At 33.3% G+C, this 16417-nt stretch overlaps 1 annotated feature.

Moving 5' to 3' along the window:
• Positions 6850 to 7433: an enhancer, noted in NCBI's record as "OCT4-NANOG hESC enhancer chr3:94722999-94723582 (GRCh37/hg19 assembly coordinates)". NCBI's record gives its function as "activates a minimal SCP1, AML or CMV promoter by ChIP-STARR-seq in primed H9 embryonic stem cells {active_cell/tissue: H9 hESC(primed)}" and the evidence as "EXISTENCE:reporter gene assay evidence [ECO:0000049][PMID:30033119]".

Genomic DNA, 16417 nt, shown 5'->3' with positions numbered 1-16417 from the left:
ATAGAAAACCACTCACATAGAGACCACTCTCATAGCCCAAAGCCTGACGGAATTATTCAAAGTGGCCAATCCTAAACTGTGTATTCCTGCAGAAACACCACTAAAGGCTCTGGCTTAAGCCTTTCCCCTGACTCCTGCTTCTGTTTCCTGACCAAAATCTGATGCTTCCCTTGTGATCTTGCCTGGTGTGTTGCACCTCGAGATTCTGGGGGGAATGTCAGTAACGTTAAACTTTCATGGCATCGATCTCTCCCAGTTGTCATTCAGTCACCTTCATAAATTAAGACCTAGGCACAGAATAGGAAGCTAATATATATTAGCTAATATATATTAGCTAATATTAGTTCTAGTAATTGTAATTCTAGTAATTGTAGTACATACAAAGTAATACTTGATGGTGATGCAACCACAAATATAAGAAACAATTTTTTGTTACTTGAAGAAATAAATAAAAATAATATATAATTGTTCAAAAAACACTGAAATGACTTACAGGAAAGAGAGTATGTCTCCAATCACTTATCTGAGATGTTTTCTGTATTCATGGACATTTAGAAAATCATTTAGCTCCAAAGTGTTTAAAAATGATGTGGTAAATAACGAAGTTATGAAACTGCTAACAAAACATTCTTAGAAGTTATTACAAAAATTTTATATTCTCCGTGATCAGAAACAAATAAATATATTTCACTTCTAGATGTTGGTTTCTTTTCTTTCTATTGGCCAAATAGAAAACAAAACAAAGCAAAAAGTTATAGAGTCAGTTTTCCAATGTCCAAGTTGGTAGTGAGACAAATATTTAAATCTATAGGTTGACATTTTTTCATGGCAGTACCGTTTTAGAAATTTAAGTTTCCTGTTTGCAAGGAATGTGATTACATTTATAATCAAACATTTAAGGAGAACTTACTCTTTTCCTAGAGTTTTCAATGTAAATATCTTTTAGCAATCAAATTAAAATTTTCATTTTTATTTTTCTTCTTCAGCTTAAAGAAGAAATAATCATCAATGTCCAAGAGACTAGATGCAGAATGGGCTTGAACTCACACACCTTTGTAGTGAACTATTCTTAATGTCAAAATAAGTACTTTTCCCAAATAAATCACCTTGCATTAAAAAATTAGTTCTTTTATATAAAAAAATTATGTGGAATATTAGTTCATACATCTGGAGCTCTTCCAGGGCTGATATTTTGAGAAAAAATAAATGCTTCCAAAGCATTGACAAAGATTCTGCAAATTCAAAAGTAAATGAATATTAGCTGGCTCCTTAAAATTTTGTTTTTCAGAACTTCCATTTGGACCTTGCTTATATACTTACATAATGTGTGCATGTGTATTTGTGCATGAGTGTGCACACGCACACGTGTGTGTGTAGGAGAACAAAATACTTTAATAAACACTTGTAATCTAAAAAATAACCTAAGTTCATTGTAATTTTTTTAATGAATGCCTCAGTTCCACAAAATTTGGGGTTAGCATCTCAACCTAATTGACAATATCTAAAAACGTTTTTTTGTAAAATCTGTTCTTAACATATAATTTGTTTTCTGCAATAATATAAAACGCTTAAAACACAAAAAAAGTTGATAGTAAATAAATATATTTTAATGACAATTATTTTGAAATTAAATTGTATTAGCAATTACTTAAATGAATTTTTATACTTTATATATTCTCAAAAGTTACTTTATTCAATAATTGATGAGCTATGTAGGTTGCTGTCATCTAATTGATACAAATTGAAATTATTTTCTGAAGTTTATGATCCTACAAGTATTTGTATTCTATTCCCTGATAACTAAATAATCCATTTAAGAAATATTTTCTTTCATAGTTCCTACATAACTTATTAAAGTCACAGTGTATAGTGACAAGCATAACGATATTCTAAAGTGCATGATCACCTCTGCTGGGTGCTGAGTGCACCATCACACAGTACAAAGATCAAACATACTTACCAGGTAATTGGCATTCACCTTACGGGCATGTGCTTTTCTCGTTGCCTCCTATGAGCTCCTGATCTCTGGACCCTTGCGTATACACTTACATTGAATGTTTCCTGATTTTTTTGCATGACTGAAAAACTTCTTTGGAATTGACTTTCTACTTTTACAGATGTAAATTGATATACTGAAAATTTAACTTCCCTATGAAACTTGAGGTTAGGTAATTTCACAAGTTTGTCAAAAATCTAAATCTCAGATCTTTTTATACTACCTTTCCCCATTCTGTAAATTGTACATGACCCAGTGGACTTTTTTGACTACAAAAACTAGTGAAAGTCCTTGTTAGAATTCTAGTGCTGCCCACCCAGTGCTTCCAGTGTAATAGGATCCAATGGAAAAGAAAAGGCACATCTAAGTCCTGGGATATATTAGGACACAAAAAAGCAAGCACCTCCAGCACGATTAAAATTAATTCCACTTCTGTGTAATCCCTCATGTTAGTTAATAGCTTCATTATAACCCCAAGCTAAAAACTTAAGAATTATACTTGGCAATTTATCCACTTTGCACCCACATAGAATCAGTTAACAACCTCAGCAGAGTTTCCTAAAATTGCCCTGCTGCTTTTCAACCCCATTGCCATTTCCTTGCTCAGACCTTAACTATCTCTTATCTATAGTGTTTATCTATTCTCTCTGTTCTCCTTACCCTCAAGGAAATCAGCATTTTCATCCATATTTTCCTTTGATACCAGAATTATTTTTGCAAAGGGAAAATACAATTTATCAACTTTTTGCAATATATTTTAAAATTTTATTTTGCAGATAACAAACTGAGAGTCATAGTTTGCTATCTATGAAACAAAATAAAAAATTTAACATTGATGAAAAGTACTATTTACTAGTGAAATGCACACTTACATTCAGTTTTATCTTCTTCTCTGTATATATGTCCCTATACTCTATTCCCTTTAATCTTGCTGCTCCTAAAACATCTTCTAAAGCTGTTGGGCATTTCCTTGGGAATAACTTCTTTAATTTGGTTAAATCCTGGTGATCCTTCAAAAGCTAGTTTGAATATTAATGTCCAAACTCTGCCTTCTCCTTTGTAAATTCACAATATTCTACCGTTATCTCATCATATTTTAGTACTTTGTTTTCACCACTGTATCTTCCACTAGATCATGATCACATCAAGGAAAGAGATCATGTTGTATTAGTCCATATCCTTGACTCATAAGTAATTGTAAAAGAAAGGATATATTGTTTGCTTAGTTATGGTTCCATGTAATAGAAAATTCTGATTATAAATAATATGTCCTGATCTTCCAGTGATATACATTTATGTATTTATTTTTATAAACAGGGTCTTACTATGTTGCTCAGCCCAGAATGCAATGGCTATTTACGTGTGATCATTGTGCATTACAACCCAGGACTCCTGGGCTCAAGTGATCCTCCTGCTTCACCATTCTTGAGTAGCTGGGACAATAGGTGTGCATCACCATGCCCAGCTCTATGACATACATTTACTATAAATTCATATAATCTAGTTAGGGTCCAAAAATGATGTCAACATAATCATATTAATTTTAGAGCTAACATTTAAATGTTGAGATTTATGATTCAGGGGTAAGTGAAAGTTCATGAAGTCTGACAGAGTTCCATGCCTGTTCTCACACGTTTTCCCATCACAACTAATTTAAATGCAATAAAAATGCCTACTTGGTTGTTTACAAGCAAGGAAGGGCTTAAATTTCTTCATCCAGGACCACCAGAGACTCTGGATGAAGTACTAGAATAAACAATTTAATGAATAAATAATTAACACACAATTAAAAAGTTATTAAAACATTCTGGCATTAGCTATCTGTGTATTGAAAGTCTCATAGGTCTTCTGTAAATTAGCATTTAATACTTTTATCTCTATTATTAATCTTGGTTAATGGCAATTTTACTCTTAAGAGAATTTTTATATTATTATTTCTCCTAAGATTAAAAGGTATATAATGCCATATAACTAAATGCTTAATTTTAGTGTAGATTTTAGAGCAATATAGCCGAATTATTATTGTGTTTTACTTTAAAAAATGTTTCTAAATAAAATGCTACCAATTATTCCAGTCATGACAAGTACAGTCTTCTCATTAAAAAAAAAATCCTTCAGTTGGCCTTTCAGCTGTAATGAGCTTATTGTCCTAGAAACTCTGGAAAATAGTGAGCAAATTAGGTTATTCCCAATGCTAAACATTTTAATTTCTTCAGTAACTCCTATTAAAATAGTTTGTAGGGGCTTCTTTTCTGTATTACTTCTACGCTACAGTGACAAACTTAGGGATAATTCAGGTTATTTTCCAAATTCTAACGTTTGTTTCTTTGATCATTAAAACACTTTCCTTATAATAACTTTTAGACCTCTCAAGGCCCTAATAGAAGTTACTTTGACATAATTATTTGAATTATCTGTGCCTTCGCTCACTTAAAAACTTATCATGATTCAAGAAATAATTCTGAAATGTTATATCAATTATTGCATGTCCCCCCAAAAATGTTATATTTATTCTTATATAACTAATTCAGTTTTAACTCATCAGGGTCAAATTGCTTGGGGATTTTACTATTTTATTTTCTAAATCAAATGTTTGTATTTTTGATTTAAAAAAGGAGTATAACAACCATAAATGCACATATGCACACTCATACATGCACACATGAAGTAAAATGCTGTAACACGACTGGGAAAGGCTTGCAATTGTGAAACACACCAACTGTTTTATTGTGTCATGTTCACTAAGTATAAAGTAACAGCATGTAGACTATCAAAGCTGCTCTGGCACTTTGACATCATTTCTTCAATTTTTATATTATTTTAGGCTATAGCACAAAGGTAAGTGTGAATGTAAATCACTCACAAGTTTTAAGAAAATCCTTTAGAATATTGATAAATAATTGCATTACCAATTTGTTGTTGGGATTCACACAGGTCAAATACCCCTTATCTGACATGCTTGGAACCAGAAGTTTGGATTTCTGATTTTTCCAGTGTTTGGAATACTTGTATATACATAATGAAATATCTGGGGGATGGAACTCAAGACTAAACACAAAATTCATTATTGTTTTATATACACTTTATACCCATAGATCAAAGGTAATTTTACATAAAGTTTGTCAGGATTTTGTGCATAAAAGAAAGTTTGTGTTAAGTACTTATGTGTTGCAAAATTTGGAGCATTTTGGATTTTAGATTTTGGGGTTAGGGATTCTCAGTCTGCATCAGTAAATCCAAATCATTTCTGTTTTTTACATTTAATTATATCTCAGGAATTGACTAAGTGTCCTTATACTTATAAAATATTAATAATCTATGATGTCAACTATATTATATCCTATGAGTATTAAAAAGAGTTATTTAGGCTTAATTTTCACTGATATTACTGTTTCATTGTTATCAACTATTCTTATTGTATTAGTACCTGTCTACCTAGTAGAGTGAAGAAAAGAAAAAAATATATATGAAGTGCAAAATTTCAGATATATTTTAATTGTTATGTAGCACTGCTTTGGAAGCATTAGAGTTCATATTTACTTTTTGTTGTTGATTTTAACTTATATTGACAGTTAAATTTGAACTTTTATATTAAAAATACACATGTACAATAACACAAAGAGTACATATTCTCTTAGCAGATTGTATGACATATTTTTACTTGAATTATTGAGATAACTTGCTTTTGTTAGGCCTCTTAGGACACGTACCTAACTTTATAGGGAACAAAGATGATGACTAAATGATATGGTTTGGCTCTGTGTACCCACCCAAATCTCATTTTGAATTATAATAATCCCCATGTATCATGAGGGGACCTGGAGGGAGGTAATTGAATCATGGGAGCAAATTTTTCCCAAGTTGTTCTCGTGATAGTGAATAAGTCTCATGAGATCTGATGGTTCTATAAAGGGCAGTTCCCCTGCATATGCTCTCTCTTGCCTGCCACCATGTAAGACGTGCCTTCCTCCTCCATTGCCTTCTGCCATGATTGTGAGACCTCCCCAGCCATGTGGAGCTGTGAGTCCATTAAATCTCTTTTCTTTATAAATTACTCAATCTCCAGTACGTCTTTATTAGCAGTGTGAAAATGAACTAATCCACTAAAAGAAGAAAAATGTTGGAAAACCTTAGTAGATACTGAACATAGGCTAAAAGTTGCAGGAATGGAAGAGGCAAGAGAAGAGAGCAAGAAAGAAGATGGGGCCATGAGAGAATAGAAGAGAGGGGAGAGAAAAATGGAGGCATTGTGAAAAAACAGAAAAATACAGATTTTTTCAGAAACAAATATCACAATTGGTGTTTTGTTTTGTTTTGCTGGTATGTGTGGACACTAGACCGTGTCTTCCTTCCTTTGTTTCCATTCTATTAAATTCTGTATCTATATATTAGTCATACACATACGTGACTTGGAGTTCAGAGGGAAGGAGAAAAGGAGAAAAGCATTTTCTGTTATATCTTGCCCACTGCACTTGTAAGAATTTTGGATGTATAATTACAACATGTAGTGTGCAATTAGGAGATGGTAAGACGTAATAATCAAAAAGTATTATGCTTAGGGAAAAAAAACAGTTTCTGGAGTAAAATAATTAGGTTGAAATTCCAGCACTGTTAGATCTTGGGAAATCAATAAACTTGTTCTATCTTAAGTTCAGTTGTATAGAAAGGAGAAATAATAGTATATAACTCAAAGGGCTTTGATGAAGATTAAATGAAATCTTATGAGGTCACCAGAATAATGCCTGATGTAGTTTTTGATCTGTAGACACATATTCATTTCTTATTTCACAAAGCAGAGAAAAAAGTCAATTTTTGTTAATTTTTTGAAAATATTTCCAGATGTTCAGATAACGTTTTTATACAATTCTATAAAAATTATCTACTAGTTCAAATTGGTTCATTAAACTGTGAAAAAGGTGGTGCTTACAACTGCTTGGTGCAAATTCACAGATACTCTCTTCATTGTATAAATTTTTATCACTAGAAAGGCATATGTAATTAGTATTGCTTCTGTTATAAAATTTTATTTTTGAAAAAGTTTGATTTTTTTAAAAAAGTCATTCTACACTAAGTTATGCTGGTTTGGAGAGATCTAGGTAGTTTTACAGGATAAAAGGAACAAATGTGCCCATTCATATCCCAGTAGGTTAGCTCTGTAGATATGCAAAGCATTAACACTGATGTAAACAAGTAGGAAACTTTACAGATGTTTCCAGCTTACAATGGGATTGGTCCGGATAAACTCATCATGAGTTGAAAATATTATAAGTCAAAAGTGCATTTAATACACCTGACCTATCGAACATCATAGCTTAACCTAGTCTACCTTAAATGTGCTCAGAACACTTACATTAGCCTGCAATCTGGCAAAATCATTTAAGACAAAGCCTATTTTATAATAAGGTGTTGAATATTTCACGATTTATTAAATACTGTACTGAAAGTGAAAAATGGAATGGTTGTATGGGCACTGAATGAGTTTAGTTTTTGTATGATCACAGTCAAAAAAGCATATGTCAGGCTGGGTGCGGTGGCTCACACCTGTAATCCCTGCACTTTGGGAGGCTGAGGCAGGTGGATCACGAGGTCAGGGGTTCAAGATCAGCCTGACCAACATGGTGAAACCCCGTCTCTACTAAAAATACAAAAATTAGCCAGATGTGGCAGTGCATGCCTGTAATCCTAGCTATTCGGGAGGTGGAGGCAGGAGAATTGCTTGAGCCTGGGAGGTGGAGGTTGCAGTCAGCCATGATCATGCCACTGCATTCTAGCCTGAGTGACAGAGCAAGACTCCATAAAAAATTTTGAAAAAAGTGTATGTCAGACCACTGTAAGTCAGGGACTATCTATATTCAGTTCCACTGGCTTACCTAAATAGAGAAAGTAAAAACACCAACCTCTTTTTTACCTTACTATTTCTACCCTTACTGTTTTTATTTGATTAAAGATATTGTCTCAGCTCAATTAGGAAAACTAGTCAAGTGAGTGGTTTGATGAAACCAGCTTTCTGCCTTGAAACATTTACTAGAGACTTGTGTAGGGATGCCTGAATGCAGTGACTTTGCTGAGATTGGAAGACAGGAATCAAAATTCAGAGAGTCAAAGGCAGCTGGAATTGCAGAGCAGAATACCAATGACTAGAATGTTATACAGAGACAGACATCTAGAAATCTGTTTTGGTGTGCTATCAGTTTGGGTTTTATAAGATATATGTCAAAGTAAGACTCAGTTAGACCAAGGAAAAGTTTTTCAACTTTTGTCTGAAAATGTCCTATTTCACCTTTGATTTGAATAACCAAAGGTTATGTGTGTGTGTGTGTGTGTGTGTGTGTATATATATATCTAAGATTCATAAAGAGTTCAAGTCTCATTTCTACCTTTGAAGAGAACAGAAAAGTGATGCTCAGAGTTCCTGTATTTATTTCTGTTTTTCCAATATTAAAAAATAAAAATAAAAGACAAGTAATATGTTGGTACCTTCCACTTTGGAAGGCAAGGGCAGCCAGGATGAGACTCAGGAAAATGGGCAATCATTGGAACTTACCTCTTAGACTTGGCTGGAATTTAGGCTTTCAGGGAGATGAGCAAAAAGAAAGAAAGAAAGAATGCATAGTTCTTTTGTTTGCCAGTATAAAAAGCAAATATGAAATGTGGAAAAAAGACCAGCCAGAAACCAAGACTGCATGTTTCACTGGAAGATCTAATCAGGAATCTGAGTACTTCAGTAGAGAGATGTAAAGAGTCATTACATCAGAAAAGAAATGATTAATAACATATGTGAAGACCTACACAGTGCCTAATTATCCATACAGTAAACATTTTTTCCTTCTCTCTCCATTCTAATTGTGCTTAATCATCACTCTGAAACTACAAAGAACCTATAACAGAGTGAGGGCCAATTAGGATAGGAGGAAAAATCATTACTGCTTCTCATGTGTGTGAGCTAGGAGGAACCCAACATCAGGTGCTGGGTAATATAGTGTTTTAGCTGCTCATTTGTGCTTTGGAGCAGTGCTGTCAGACCAGGAAGCTGGTAACTGAAGCCCACAGTTTGCAAACATGGGAAAAATAAAAACACTGCTATATATCAAGACTTGAAAAACAGAGCTCAGAGAGGAACCTTTTCTTTCATGACAGATCTCCAAAAGGTGTCAGTTAATAATAAATCACTGACACAGCTCAGGAAGCCTTGCTGAAATCCCAAACTCCTAAATTATTCCAGTTCAATTCAGTTTTTGGTAGAAATGATCTAGAGGTCACACATCTTCAAAATGGTTGAAAACATGTTGATCAAATAGTCTGTACTTTGAACCATGGGAAATTTTTGTTTTTTTTCTTTACTATGTTTATCTGTTACTAAAATGCAAACAAATAAAGATTCAAGCATGTCATGTAAACTTTTCTCCTTTTTTAAGAACCTGGATATTGTGACTATCAGGAAAAAAGAATTCTATATTTTCATTGCTAAATTAATAACTTTAAAAAGATTGTGGTGTCACTTTCAAAACTACAGTGCAACATAAATAATATCCTGCTGGTTGCACCTCATTTGTGTAATGCAGCATAAAGAGTGCATTGGACAAATGATGTAATAGTTCCATAAATATGTTGACATTACCTAAAGTACACAGCTGTTCTGTTCCAAGGAAAAAATGTTTACCCATTATGCAAAATTTCATTTAAAACTAATTATTCTAGGGTTCATGTAGAAAATTATTTTGCTTTTGAAACTTTATAGTTAAGTACAGGTACCAAAAAGTGACTTAAACAATAGTCTTTATAAAAATTGTCTTTAAATACAGTTTGTATGTTAAGGATTGCTTATTACAGGGAAGCGATTATGTTATTTTACCATAGCAAATGTTTTTTTCCCTATGCTTTCTGATGGCCTTATACTTTGTTAACAAGCCCTAGTTAGAGATGCAAATTAGTAAAAATGGCATTAAAGTGTTGTTATGAATATAAATAAAGGTGATACCATTAAATTTGATTATTTCTTAACCCAATTCCATTGTAGCTATATTATTTACTTAACTAATATATAAATCATCCTGGATTACTAATCCATTTGACTGTAAATAATTTATATAATACTAAATAATATTTTTATTTTGGCTATATGATTTGTTAAATTGAATGATTTTATGTGGAAACATTAATTTAAGTACATCATTCAGAAGAAAAGAAATAAGATTGTCTTAAAGTGTAGAGTATATATGAAATATTACAGAAAGTATTAAATATTCTGGATGAGCTGAGAATTTAAATTTTTATATTTAATAAATTGTTAGAATTTACAGTCTCCTTAGCCATAGTAGTACCTACATGAGCAAAATGAATTATCTGAATTTTTTCAATAAGATTCAATTTTTCAGATGCTGCCTTATTAATTGACAAAATGAAAAAGAAATTTGAGCAAGATACTTACTATATGAGGGTTAGCTATCTTAAGAACAAAATTAGATTCCAGCTACATTAAAGGGCATACCTCAGAGACATTTCCCAAATCTAAATATCTGCAACAAGTTTTAGTGGAATGAAATTCAAATAAGATAGATAATATTAGATGACAGTTTTAAAAAATTATTTGCAAGACATTAGTGCTTAGAAACCCAATGTAGGCAGAGTGTGATGTACAGAACTAAGGCCTGGAATAAAGTCATTTCCATAGTTTTCGCTAACTTTTTTTTTTGCCATCTGACTGTGTAAATAATTACTTATCAGTAACTAAATCAACTACACTTCCTTGAATCCATGGTAAGACTTGCTTAGCAGAATAGACCACTGCCTAGCAGGCAAAGTTGAGAAAAGTTTGGGAGAGAAGATGAACAAGAAGCAGGGGAATGAGTAGTATAAAAAGGAAAGAGGGATGGTGGAGAAAGGAACATTGGAGGATTACATTTTAGGGAAAGTGCACTTAGGCTATAGCATGTTAGGTATATATGTTCAGAATGTTTAATGAATGATTAATATATAGCCAATAGTTATGTTTTCACAGCATTCTTGTTAATATATTCACCTTTTCTCTTCTATTTTTCAGATTTAGATAGAAAAAGCAAAACAACGGGCACCACTAAAAATTCAGATCCATTTTCTTTTTTAGGTTTTAATAATGGTTTACTAAAATTTAGCTGACATAAGATGAGCTATATATTTTTAAAGGATACAATTTGATAAGTTTTGACATCCATATGCATCTTTGAAACCATCACCACATTCAAGGTGATGAAGCATGCCCCAAAGTTTCCTCATGCCCCTCTGTAATATTGAATTCTCATCTCTCTCTCCCCTCAGACCCGACCCCAGGCAACGACTGATCTGCTTTCTGTATCTACATGTTAGTTCTCACTTTCTAGAATTTTATAAAAAAGCAATCATATAGTATGTACTCTTTTTTTGACTGTTTTTCTTTACTCAGCGTAATTACATTGAGATGCATTCATGATGTAGTGGGTATCACCTACTACTGAATGTAGTAGGTTTATTTATCTTCATTAATGAGAATTCCACTGTGCAGATATACTAGTTTGTATACATCCAATATTCCCAGCATCATTTGTCGAAAAGACCATCCTTTCTCCACTGATTTGTTTTAGCATCTTTGTGAAAAATCAATTGCTTTTATATGAGTGAGTCTTCCTGTGTTTTTCATTCTGTTCCACTGATGTATTTGCCTTTATGTCAGTACTACTGTTTTGATTATTGTAGTTTTATAATAAGTTTTGAAATCAGGTCATGTTAATTCTCCAACTTTGTTCTTTTCGGAAGTTGTTTTGGCTCCTCTGGGTCCTTTGTGCTTCCATATGAATTTTAGGATTAATTTTTCAGTTTCTACATTGCTGGGATTTTATTGGGATCATATTTAATCTATAAACAATTTGGAAGGAATAACATTTAGTCTTTCAAAATATGAATTCAATATGGATTTTGTTTATTTAGGTCTTTCTTAATTTCCTTCAACAATGTTTAAAGTTTTTAGTGTAGAGTTGTTTTATATTTTTGGAAGATCCATCACTGATTATTTAACATACTTTATGATATATAAATAAAACAGAGGCCTCAGAAATAACACCACACATCTACAACCATCTGATCTTTGAAAAACCTACTAAAAACCAGCAATGGGGAAAGGATTCCCTATTTAATAAAATGGTGTTGGGAAAATTGGCTAGCCACATGCAGAAAACTGAAACTGGACCCCTTCCTTACACCTTGTACAAAAATTACCTCAAGATAGATTAAATTTTTAAATGTAAGACCTGAAGCCTTAAAAATCCTAGAAGAAAACCTAGGCAATACCATTCAGGACATAGGCATGGGCAAAGACTTCATGACTAAAACACCAAAAGCAATGGCAACAAAAGCCAAAATTGACAAATGGGATCTAATTAAACTAAAGGGCTTCTGCACAGCAAAATAAACTATCATCAGAGCGAACAGGTAACCTACAGAATGGGAGAACATTTTTGCCATCTATCCCTCTGACTAAGGGTTAATATCCAGAATCTACAAGGAACTTAAACAAATTTACAAGAAAAAAACAAACAACCCCATCAAAAAGTGGGCAAAGGATATGAACAGGCACTTCTCAAAAGAAGACATTTATGTGGCCAAGAAACATATGAAAAGAAGTTCAACATTACTGACCATCAGAGAAATGCAAATCAAAACAACAATGAGATACCATCTCACATCAGTTAGAATGGTGATCATTAAAAAGTCAGGAAACAACAGATGCTGGAGAGGATGTGGAGAAACAGGAATGCTTTTACACTATTGGTGGGAGTGTAAATTAGTTCAACCATTGTGGAAGACAGTGTGGCGATTCCTCAAGGATCTAGAACTAGAAATACCATTTGACCTAGCAATCCCATTACTGAATATATACCCAAAGGATCATAAATAATTCTACTATAAAGACACATGCACACGTATGTTTACTGCAGCACTACTCTCAATAGCAAAGACTTGGAACAAACCCAAATGCCCATCAATGTTAGACTGGATAAAGAAAATGTGGCACATATACACCATGGAATACTATGAAGCCATAAAAAATATTGAGTTCATGTCCTTTGCAGGGACATGGATAAAGCTGGAAACCATCATTCTCAGCAAACTAACACAAGAACATAAAACCAAATAGCGCATGTTCTCACTTATAAGTGGGAGTTGAACAATAAGAACATATGGGCACAGAGAGGGTAACATCAACCACCTGTTTGAGGGGTGGGGGGCAAGGGGAGGGATAGCATTAGGAGAAATACCTAATGTAGATGAAGGGTTGATGGGTGCAGCAAACCACCATGGGACGCGTATACCTATGTAACAAACCTGAACGTTCTGCATGTGTACCCCAGAACTTAAAGTATAGTTAAAAAAAAGAAAAAAGTAAAATAAAAATACTTTTTTTTTCTGTATCTGATTTTTCACTGCTAGCATGTAGAAAAGCAATTGAGTTTTGCTTGTTGACACTTTGCAAAATTCACTTACTAATTCTAATAATTTTTAATAGGTTCCACCAGATTTTTCACAAGGATTATCATGTTATCTCTGTTTTTCATTTTTATTTATTTATTTATTTTTATTCTGGGGATACACGCAGAGGATTGTTACATGAGTATATCGAGCAATACTGACATTTGGGATAGGGAGGGTGCATTCACCCAGGTGGTGAGCATAGTACCCAATAGATAGTTGTTCAATCCATAATTGTCTCCCTTCTTTCACCTTCTAGTAGTCCCCAGTGTCTGTTGTTCCCATCTTTATGTCATTTTGTACTTCAAGTTTAGGCTTTGAGATTAAAATTCTTCATAAACAATGCCATTCATATAGAAATGAATTTTTTTCCTTAAATTTCTACATATACTACTTATACCATGGGGTCCAAAAGAGAATCAGGATACCACTATATACTTTCGAACAGCCCTTTGAGTTCTACACTTTTATGATTATAGTTTGATTTTTAATTAGAATTTCCATATAGAATCTAAAAAGACCCACTGCTTCCTAAAACAGGGATCAGAACAAATTTGTTCTATATGATTTTTACGGAACACTGTATATACTTCAAATAATGTGTGCTTCACAAAAAAGCCTGCAGTAGTGAATATTTAAGAGTTAACAAAAGAATATAAAGTTTAACTTATTGTTCTAGAGAGTAGATCTAGGACCAAGAGGTGGAAAATAGAGTTAATAAATTTCTACTCAACATAAGGGAGAACTTTTAGCAATGAAAGCTAGCCAAGCATAGAAAAGGCTGCATCTCAAGTAGTCAGTTCCCTGTCATTGGAATTATTCAAGCAGAAGCCAGATATATGACTATTATTTGGGGATGGTGTGCATGTGGTGAGAAGTAAGATTATATGACCTTTAAGGTCCCTTCAAACTATGATATGATTATAAGTAGATGTCTGATTAAAAATAGTTCACCATGCACATGGTGATGCTAAAATAACAAGCATAGTCAAATTCAACCACAGCAAGAATAAATTAAATATAACGTGTTTGAGAGAAAACAAGTATATTTTCTAAAATGTAGTAGCAATAAGTTGCAGTGCAAGACACTGCAATGAATCAGTGCTTGGCATGAAGGAGACACAATGATTTAGTGCTTCGGCCTCAGTCCATATGGAGTTACTTATCAAATGGCAGCAATTGCTGTAAAGCATGCTAGAATGAATTTGCTGCCCACTACGCAAACACCATGTAATGTCACTGTCAATTGTAGAGTGCTTGCTTCTACATGTAACAAAAAACCAATGACACAGTGATTCCCTACCCCCATTACAATTTTGATTATAGGATCCACCTACACTTCCACTTTCAGTTATAAAACAAAAAGAAAGCTTGACACTAGGATAAAAACATATTAAAAATGAAATTTTAAATAGAAGTATTCTTTAACTTTTATCAAAAAGTATAAACAATGTTGTAGGATTGATATGAAATTAAACTGGCTGGACTTTCAGCTCTACGGTATATCCTTGTCCACCCAGGTCTGTGCTCTGAGACTGCTCTGTGTGGACACATCAATGGACTGTCTTGCTTCTGGCTTCTGGTTATAATCTGACAATGAAGAGACTGGCAGGAGTGTGGAGGGGGAAAGTTTAAGCCATATTAATTACTCCAGCTTCCCCTTTTTGAGGTTGGTTTCATTTGATTGAATACATGACCCACTCTTCCAGCATCTATAAGGTGATCCTCTCTCCTTAGTCTCTTTGTCTCTGGGTTCCAAGGAACTGCTTCCTCCCCTCTCCATATAGGTCAAGGAAAGGAAAGATCTTGGCTACTGGGTACTGGATACCTTAAAGCTCCACTACACCTTGTGCCCATCTTTTAAAATAATTCATTTATTAAACCCTCTGCAAATAACTCACATGGAGCTTATTCTCTGTTTCCTTTCAGGTTCCCAACTGATGCTCTTGATGATCTGTTCCCTGTATCACAAGTCCTATTTCACCACTCAGGCTTTCATAAATGTTTTAGGTAAATTCTTGCTTCTCATTCTCAATGAGAATGGAATGAAGACTGTTAAGTATATGTACTGTATCACATTATTTGTAACTAATATATTTTAGCTACATGTTTTAATTTTTAACAAGTGTTAAAAAGATAAGTACTGGAAATGTTCATATTACAAATGATACAGTTTGGGGTACAGCCCCACAACCCCAGAGCACTAAGTTGATTGATCACTCTATAATAATGATACAGTCACATAAATGGGTATATGTGTATATTAATTAGAGTTTGGGCCAATAGTGACCAACTCGGTTATTTTGCTTTAGACTAACAGTATAATTTTCTCCCATAGCATTTAATAAACTGTCTAAACACTTTATCCATGCCATTAAAAAAGTATAAAATATATATTTAAATTATTTAATAAATTCAAATCCTTCCTGAAAACTCAGAATGCAACTTTATTTGAAAATAAGATCTTAAGAAATGGAATTCATTAGGTTAGGAGAAGGACATACTAAAGTAGAGTGAGTCCTAAATCCTGTCTGACTGGCATCCTATAACAACAGGGAGAGAGATCAAAGACACAAAGAAAGGAAGTCAATCTGAAGTCAGAGACAAAGATCAGAGTGATATATTGACCAGCCTATGAACGCTAAGCATGACCAGAAACTACGGAGCTGGAAAGGGGCAAGAAAATAGCCTCCCTTAGATTCTTCAGAGAAAAAATTATTCAACTCTGTCGACACCTTGATTTCAAATCTCCAGCCTCCAAAACTGTGAAAGAATAAATTTCTGTTCTTTTACGCCACTCAGTTTGTTGTACTTACTTATGGCAGCCCTAGAAAACTAAAGCACATACATGTTTAATATAAAATGTTATCCTAGTTTCTTCTTAAAAAAAATCTTATTTAAAATAAATCTGTAATTTTGAACTTAACTCAAGATTAAATTTTA

This window comes from Homo sapiens, chromosome 3 (genome assembly GCF_000001405.40).
Source record: "Homo sapiens chromosome 3, GRCh38.p14 Primary Assembly".
Lineage (NCBI taxonomy): Eukaryota > Metazoa > Chordata > Mammalia > Primates > Hominidae > Homo > Homo sapiens.
The sequence above is the reverse complement of the archived record's forward strand: the minus strand, read 5'-3'. Positions and strand labels throughout refer to the sequence as shown.